At 50.8% G+C, this 9,303-nt stretch overlaps 1 annotated feature.

The window, feature by feature from the left end:
- Positions 2,821-3,437: an enhancer, noted in NCBI's record as "H3K4me1 hESC enhancer chr11:134599270-134599886 (GRCh37/hg19 assembly coordinates)". NCBI's record gives its function as "activates a minimal SCP1, AML or CMV promoter by ChIP-STARR-seq in primed H9 embryonic stem cells {active_cell/tissue: H9 hESC(primed)}" and the evidence as "EXISTENCE:reporter gene assay evidence [ECO:0000049][PMID:30033119]".

Genomic DNA, 9,303 nt, shown 5'->3' on the forward strand with positions numbered 1-9,303 from the left:
CAGGTGTGCTGTGGAAGCTCCCTCACCTGGGTCATTCAAAAGAGAAGAAAGTCCTTTGCATATGCTCTCTCTGTCTCTGTCTCTCTCTGTCTCTGTCTCACACACACACACACACACACACACACACACCAGCACCACACCACATAAAGAGTCAATTAGAGCTGACACCACTGAGTCCAAGCAGCCAGTGCAGAAGCACCTGGGGAGAAGTTACTGCTGCTGTCTGGCCTGAGGTCTCCCTCACCATCATCCAGCCAGAGTCTGCGGATCCCTGAGGGCCAGGGCAGCTGCATTGAAACTTTGCTGAGCACTAGCAGGCACAAGAGGGACTGATACACTGGACGCACTAAGATGAAAAATTGGAAGCTACTTTTGCTTTGAAAAAGAAAAGAAGAAAACCAAACCCTTGAACATGAACACACCAAAATGCTCCTGCAGCTGCATTCCCTGCGAACAACACATTTGCCCTCGGTTACTACCCTCAGTTAAATCTGTTAGTTGTTGTTTAAAGCTGGATTTTTTAAAAAAGCATGAAGATAAACTCTCTCTATTGTAACTGTGGGTGGATATTTACTTGAAGAACAGATCAATAGCTCGACTCTTCCTTTTCATAGACAGGTCTTGTTAAATCCTACCTCCGTGATGTGGTGTTCTCCGCTGTTGTTCAAGACCCAGGAAGCCCCCGGTGGCGTGGGTTCTGCTTCTGGAGTTGCACATTGGCCACACATCCGGTCTCCATCCCCCTTGGCTCTTTGACCACTGGCCACGCAGTTAACACCCCTAAGACTCAGTTTCCTCCTCTGTAAAATGGGAAGAATAACTCCTTTCTTTCAGTGTGAGAGTGAGTGTTAGCAAACGAATCTCTGTCACGTGGCTAGTGCTCGATAATTGTGGCCGTAATGATAACAAAACCACAATTCCGTCAGGCTCCCTCCAAGGGGAGGCTGTGGCAAGACGACTTCTGCTCCCTGGCGGTGAGTGAAGCTCAGACGCTTAGATGGGATTTCAGTGGAGAGCTAGTCTCCTCAGGAAACCTGTGAGCTCCCTCACCACAGGAAAAGAGATTAAAATGTGCCCTATATGGGCATACAGAGCTTAAAATGTGCCCGATATGGGTATAAACTGAATTAGACCGGGGCCTACTGTGGGCCTGCTGGAGCCCAAGGCAACCCCTGCCCAAGCTTCTCCCACTCCATGCAGGACCTGGGGGAAGGGTCGCTGGCAGCATGTTCCCAGCTGTGCCTTCGGGCTCTGGCAGCAGAAGGGGAGGCCAGGTCTCTCCGAGAGCCCCCAGGTGCTGCTTCAGGAGCAGATGGGAAACAGTGAATCCTGAGTCCTACCCTGGAGGGACTGGCCACCTCCCATTTGACAGCCTGCTTTGTCCCCAGGCTTTGTTGTCTGCCCATGGCTAATTCTTAATCTACTTCTTTTCTCTGGACATATTGAATAAAAAAACCCCAGTGATCCTTTCAGTATTTAAGTGCTGCACAACCCAGGGGGGCAGGTCCCAGGAGGAGGCAAGTTGCTTATTTCAAAGCCACAACCTCCTGGAGTCTCCAGGACCTCGATTCCTCTCCTCCCTGCCATGCAGGCAACTGAGGGGTGACTTCAGATGGAAGACATGTGTCCCTCCTCCCGTGGTGGCTGGGGCAGCAGGGGTGACTCCCGCCCTGGGCCTGGTGGAGATCAGTCCTGCAGGACTCAGGGTCCTCAGCACAGCGGTGCCCACCGCAGGCTCTTCTGAGGAGCCATGCTGCATTCTCCCCGTTGTGTGTCTCTGGGGCCGATTGACCTTTTGCTCCAGCCCAGTCGTGGCTGTGGGACCAATGCTGCAAGCACTCAGGTCAACCTCAGGAGGCCTGAGTTCACAGCACCTCACATCCGTGCTGGCCCTGGGAGTCTAGGTAAGAAAGAGGGTGAAATGCCCTGAGACCAGAGTGGAGCCCACCGGGGCCATCTGGAAGTGTGAGGGAAGTATGTGCCCTGGGTAAGATGCCAGCTTGAGGGAGACAGAAGGGGGATACAGTCTCACCTTTTCCCAGCTGAGACATGGTCTTGAGGTGACGTTTGTATGGCGTGTCAGGGATGGTCCCGGGTACACTTAAGTCATAACATCCACCGGTCAGCTCCATGACACGTGTGTGTGGCCCTGCTCCTGCCCACTTCACTTCCCTCATCTGAAGACTGTGCTCCTTAGTAAGGCAACAGCGTGTAAGCCCTGGCCTCGGACTCTGCTTTTTGGGAAATATGAGCTGAAGCATCGTCTTCATCTAAATGGGTTGGTCTCCTGCAAGCTACTCCAGATCACGGTTCCTGATAAACTCCCAGGCCTCTCAGTGTCCCCTGCCTGGCCTGAGGGGCCCGTGGCCTTGGCCAGCCGTGGGTCACATTGCATGACCCGGTGCTCTGTGAGCTGCCTGTGTGGGCAGGGACAACGGCACTCTGGGCTTCCACGCACCGGGCTCTCCTGTTACGCAGCGCCCCCGCCCCCACCCCGCCCAGGACTTCTCCTCTTTATTTTGAGATATTTTTCTTTGGTTCTGATTCCCAGGCTGCTTTCTGGCTACACAACTCTGTCTCCTCCAGACCAGAATTCTGGTTCCCGTGCTGGGTCTCGGGGACCATGGTGAACGCTGCCTGTCATGGAAACTTCAGAGGGCTTCCCACTCATCGTGTGACTGTCTTAAAGCAAGTGACAGCAAGTGCTGGGCGGAGCCTCAGATTACCTGGTGTAGCAAGACCCACTTTCTGATATGGAGAAAACAAGAAAATTTAGGTGCAGAGGACTGAGGAGCAGGTGCAGGGGCCATGCACAGTGGGCCTGGAACCTCCTGTGATCCGCCAGCACCTGCAGGAGATGGGCCACACTCCATCACACGGTTGGTACTGAGCCCAAAGATATGAGAAGCAGGCCATGGTGACCAAGAGGAGGTGAGGCCTGCCTGTGTGCGGTGAGGCACAGGGAGTGCTGAATGGAAGCAAAACACACAGGGACCTCCTGCCGGGAGTGGGCAGGAAGGAGAGGCAGATTCACCCACACCGAATGATGTCGCTGAGGCTCTCTCTGGGGTTATGCTAAAGGGCCTCATAGAACCAAACAGCAATGATTTCCTGGGTCTCTCATCCTGGAACCCCAATAAATTAGTGGCCTCTAATATCTGAATGTGCATACCCCATTAAAATTATAAGTGGCTTCTCCTGCTCTAGGGAGCTTACAGGCAGATGGAGGGGCAGGCGAGGCTGTCTCAGGAGAGGCGAAGCTCTAGGCTGGACATGCACACTGGGACTAGAATTCAGTGACGGATGAACTCTGGGATGTTGAGGCACATGTAGGGTGCAGAGGAGGCCAGGGCTCTGCAGTAGGACCATACCCTTGATTCTGGAGAGGGCCTCCATCAGCAGCTGGATGTCACTGGCTAAGAACCTTTGTTGGGGCTCTGCCACCCACATTTGTCTTGACCTTGAATGAGCCACTCCTCTCCAGGGTGTGTGCATTTGGGCTATGCCTCCTTCAGAGGTGGCCGCAGGTGGACTGGCCCTTTGAACACAGGTTCATGGTTGAACACAGGTTCATGGAAAAGGAAGAATCCTTCATTTTCATCCCCTATTCAGCCATCAGCAGGGCCCAGAGCCCTTCTCCATGTTGCTTGTGCAAACACAGTGTTTCCAGCTCATAAGGCAGGGCGGTTCCTGGATTTGCAGCCCCAGGACTCTCCACCAGCTCAAGCACACCTTGGTTTCGTAGGTGTCAGCTGCCTTCATTGCATCATAATTCATGCTTGCTGATCTTTACTTGATAGGCATTTTAACAGTCTTGGAGCCGTGTGACTTGCAAAAGGCCCAGTTAAAAGGGACTCAGATGAGGCCTTGGAGCCTGCAGCTTCACCCAGGAGCACCTGTGAGTGGTGCGAGAGGGGCAGACAGTGAGAACAGAGGGCTGGGGCCTGGGGAAGTTCTTGGGAGCCCCCGTCGCCCCTTCGTGCTTTCTCTCCCCTTGGTGCTTTCACAACCTCTTTCCAGGTGTGCTGGGTGCCCAGGGGCTTTCGCTTTCCCAGGGTCTGGATTTCCGGGTTGTGCCCCTGTTTTATCTTTACTGGGTTTCTCCCAACGGTAAGGTATGTTTCCTTCATTTTCCATTCCAGCAGGATACTGCTTTTGGCTTGCTGTCCAATGCTGGGGAAAATGAAAGCATTAACTCACAAGGCAAGTTCCAAAGGTGCAGGGCGGCTTCTGGAATATATGGCCCTGAGGGTAGCAGACACATGGGAGGGAAGGTATGAAATCCAAATATGGATTCTTATGAGGAATTTCAGGTATTCTGGCAGGCTGACAGCTGAAATATTTAATTGAAAAAATATTTCCCAGCTTCCTCAATTCACAGCACAGAGTTCTGCCCTCTCAGCCTAAACAAGAGGCAGGCCCTCCTGGTGGCTGCCCCTCTCCTGAATGCCTCACAGGAGCCTGTCTCAGTCTGGGGCTGTGCTGAGCTACCTCTTAGCAGTTTCTTTAGTCATTTTAAGGTAGGGTTTCCTGGGTCAGCCAGAGACGTGCATATCTAAAAGTCTCTTATGTCTGCATGGCTAAAGGCTCATGATTTGTAAGGCTAATGAGGTTTATAGAACATTTAACAGAGTTTTTTGAAAATTTGGAAACAATGCAGCCGTTATCTTTGAGAGCATCCTTGCCCTTGAGTTTCCCAGCTGAGATCTCCTCCCTGGGGTCTGGCTTCTCTCATCTCTTTGAATTGCACACAGGCTTCCAGTGGACAGCACCTGCTGCTCTGCCAGCCCCAGCCAAACCTCTCCTTGCTCAGTTTTATCCTGTTCCTAGGAGGAAACTGGTCTTTCCTTGGCCTTAATAAAAGCCCAAATCCATGCACTTCACAAGACCAGTCCCCAGCTGGCCCTTTTCCATGGTTTAGAATCTTTGGCCAAAAGTTGACTGTGTTTGTCATCTCCTGCTGGACTGTCGGCTCTGGGGCTAGAAAAGCCTGGAGAGATGGGTAAGAGCCAGGACAAAGAAACAGAAGACTTTTCTTGCAAAGAATAAAAGGTATGTATTCATTTATTTAATAACCATTGATGATGTGCCTGCATGGTGCTGCACATACCTTGGGGAGGAGGGGCAGAGGCTTTGCGCCTAGACGACTCAGCATGTAGCTTAACAAAGAAATAACCTGGAGAACAATAGCCCACAGTGTGGGGCTCCGGCATGCTGAGCACTGGAGCTAAAGGAGCCTGGCAGGCTTCAGAAGCCGAGCTCTGAGTGCCTCTGCCTCAGACCCGTTCCCTGCTGACGTGAGTCACAGAAGCCAGAATCCTCTTCCCCATGGCAGCCATGGAAGCAAGGACCTCCTCTCCCACAAAGCGAGCCCTGAAACCTAGTGAGAAAGAAAATAAAGTTTCAATCTGAGGAACATGAGAAATTATCAGGCCTTGGGAGGTGTTAAAATGAGAGAGGAGTCATGCCGCAGGCACCTTGAGGTAAGTAATCATTTCAAAGCCACCTGGTGTGTGGACTCAGGACTGAGTGTTGCCACCAGTAGCTATAAATTAATCTAACAAGAATGGCCATCCTACACTGGACACCATAACTCACATCCTGTCATTCAACAATATATAACCAATAACTAATCAATGTCATTTCTGCAAGCCAATTAGAATTCCTGACCAACAACTTGTGTAATCACCCCCTTTCCTGATTCATCCTTTTTTCTTTAAAAATTTGAGCCTCTCCTTTGTTCCCTGAGCACTTCACAGTGTGTCCCGGACTGTGAAGTGCTCAACCTTGGCCCAAATAAACTCTCTGCATTAAATTTGCCACAGTTTCCTTCTTTACGTAGACAATAGACAAGTGTAAACCAAAAGGTATCTGAGACAGGTCCGCATCCACTTAGAGGTTTGTTTTGTCCAACCACCTCGGGTACACATGCCATGGGCCATGACACAGCCTCAGAAGAACGTGTGCCCAAGGTGGTCTGGTGATAGCTTGGTTTTCTACATTTTGGGGAGACAGAAGTTCCAGGCCAAGATATAAATCAATACTTGTATGATGTACATTGGCAAGCCCAGAGAGGCAGGACAGCTCGAAGAAGGGGGCTTCCAGGTCAAGGGGGGTTCAAAGATGTGCTGATTGGTAGCTGTTTGAAAGAGTTAAGTCCTGCTTGGAGAGTGAAACTCAGCATAAAGAAATGCTTAAGTTTACATAAGGGGGTTGTGGAAGACAAGGTTCTTGTCTTATAGTTGAAGCCTCCAGGTAGCAGGCTTCAGAGAGAATAGATGTGGAAGGTCTCTTATCACACCTCAAAAGGTGTCAGACTCTCTGGAAAGACCTAGTAAGGGAAGGAGACTCTCTATAGAATGTAGATTTACCCCACAAGAGACAGCTTTGCAGAACCGCTTCAACATCTTCGACATATGTCAAATAAATGTATTTTGGGATAAAATACTTTGACTTCTTCCAGGGCCTGCTATGTGTCATATGATGCTATACCAGAGTCAGGCTAGAATTTGGAATCTCATGGCTACAAAGAGTCTGCTTGTCTGTCTTCAGATCTCTGTTTTTGTGTTAGTGCCGATCAGTTGTGTCTAAACTCCAAAGGGAAGAGGGGATAGCGAGGCGTGTCTGATCCCCTCTTCTGGTTACATCCTGAACTAGCTTTTCAGGTTTCTTGGAGGTCCGCTAAGCCAAGAGGAGGGTCTATACAGTCGGTGGGGTCTCAGAATTTTATTTTTGGTTACAAAGTTCACTCTCTCCCTTCTCCCTTGAGAGCCCTCATTCCAGAGGGGTCCTGCCCATACCCAGGAGGCCGAAATGCTATGCAGAAAAGCCAAGAAGAAGCCACACAGACAGGCCTTGGAGGCCTCCGTGTAGCACCACAGACCATCCCCCTTTGTCCAAGCACATTTCTCCACAGTGTCCATTCTTCATGGAACCTAAGGATACAAACAGATGGTTCCCCTGCAGCTTCAGATCTTCATTTCTCAAGGCACCTGTATTATATGAAACTTTAAGTAAATCTGTTATGCTTTTCTCTCGTCAGCCTGTCTTCTGTTGTAGGAGTGTCAGCTGTGAGCCTTAGGATGAGTGAGTAAAGGCATCACACCCTTCTGCCACTACATCTGCATAGACACGTTTTCTTTGGATACGTCCACAACAAAACTTTTCCTTGTAAATTTCCATGTGTGAATGAGGTCAGTCGTGGGAGTGATGCTGAAGCACATCTGGCATGTCGTGGTGGCTGATTAAAGGCAGAGCCAGGCCCACTCACCTGATGCACATCACACTCCTGACACGTCCTGGTGGCTGTATTAAAGGCAGCCAACCCAGGCCCGCTCAGATGCCCGGCGGTAACCTGATGCACATCACACTCTTCTCACAGATCCCAGGAAGGAAACCAACGAGGGTCATGCATTACAGGGCATGAGAGAATTACAGACTCTGAAGTTTGTAAGGGCAACTTAAGTGGTTTTCAAGGACATTATCTATACTCCAGGAAGCACTGCAACCATCATTTTACACAGAAAAAGCAATTCTGGTCGACTACAAAAAGCCTCCACTGCCCAGAATATAATCTGATCACCTCCTGCACAAGTTCTGGTGTCAGACTCCAGAAAGTGCAGTCTGTCTGGTACATACAACCTGGGAATCAAAAGTAAAGTGGTTTCTACTTATTTGAACCATGAACTGTACACACGAAAACCCTTCTTTCACTTAGGATTAAAGTGTTTTCTTTCAAATGCCTCTTGAGTGACTTGCTATCAATTCAGAAAGCCCAGCTGTCCAGCAGACAGCAAAGAAAAACAACCTAGCTTTGTCTTGGGAAAAAAACTCATCTTCCTGTCTCCCGTTATGGTTCTGCACAGAAAGTCAAGTACCTTTCCCAGACACCACACAGAGTGTGAATGCAGGAACTAAACCCTTCTGCAAAGACATGGGATGGTTTTATTGAAAAATAACAGTGCATTTTTAATGTTTTGCTTCTATATTTTATAACAACTCCTTGGTAGCTGACGCCCGCTCCCTTTCCAATGTTCTGTGCCTTTCCTCCTTCCTCTGCTCCCTCAGATGGAACGGAGCTGGCTGCCTCTGTTCCAAGAAGCCTGCGGCTGAGTGCGGGCTTGACATGAGATATTTATCATCTCAGGATGTCTTCGCTCAGATCGCTGGCTCTCCACCCCCAGACTTCTTTATCTTATTTTGCTAAACAAGATGAGTTTCTGTCATTGCTGGAAGTAATTGCCTTGTTTTTTAATATATATCAAGGCCCAGGTTAACAACTGGACAATGCAATGCATTTGTTATTCCCTCTCTCTCCTGTTTATTCTAGTGTGAAATTGTTTTCCAGGTAGTGATTAATTCTGCCAAAGCTTCCTGCCCTTGCTGGGTAATTTGCTGTATTTGGGAAGAAGATGCTAACTGCGCGGCTCTGCCATCAGAGGTGTCGTTACTGTTTTGTCAAACACTAGCTCCTCCATTGTCTTCTGCCAATCAGCCAAGCCTGTGGTCCTTTATTCATTTCCTGTTTCTGAGTTTTCTGTGGGGAGGACTGAAGCTGAGTCTTCGGGGGAGACTGTGTCAGGAGGCTGGGGTGGGCTGGAGAGGGCCCCCCAGCGGTGGCTCCAAAGCATCTCCGCAGCGATGGAGAACTGGGGTTCGTGGGCAGAGTGGTGAGCGACGGAGAACTGGGGTTCGTGGGCAGAGTGGTGAGCGACGGAGAACTGGGGTTCGTGGGCAGAGTGGTGAGCGACGCAGAGCTGGGGTTCATGGGCAGAGTGGTGAGCGACGGAGAACTGGGGTTCGTGGGCAGAGTGGTGAGCGACGGAGAGCTGGGGTTCATGGGCAGAGTGGTGAGCGACGGAGAACTGGGGTTCGTGGGCAGAGTGGTGAGCGACGGAGAGCTGGGGTTCGTGGGCAGAGTGGTGAGCGACGCAGAGCTGGGGTTCGTGGGCAGAGTGGTGAGCGACGGAGAACTGGGGTTCGTGAGCAGAGTGGTGAGCGACGGAGAGCTGGGGTTCATGGGCAGAGTGGTGAGCGACGGAGAACTGGGGTTCGTGGGCAGAGTGGTGAGCGACGGAGAACTGGGGTTCGTGGGCAGAGTGGTGAGCGACGGAGAACTGGGGTTCGTGGGCAGAGTGGTGAGTGACGGAGAACTGGGGTTCGTGAGCAGAGTGGTGAGCGACGCAGAGCTGGGGTTCATGGGCAGAGTGGTGAGCGACGGAGAACTGGGGTTCGTGGGCAGAGTGGTGAGCGACGCAGAGCTGGGGTTCGTGGGCAGAGTGGTGAGCGACGGAGAACTGGGGT

The sequence above is a fragment of the Homo sapiens genome, chromosome 11 (assembly GCF_000001405.40).
Source record: "Homo sapiens chromosome 11, GRCh38.p14 Primary Assembly".
Classification (NCBI taxonomy): Eukaryota; Metazoa; Chordata; class Mammalia; order Primates; family Hominidae; genus Homo; species Homo sapiens.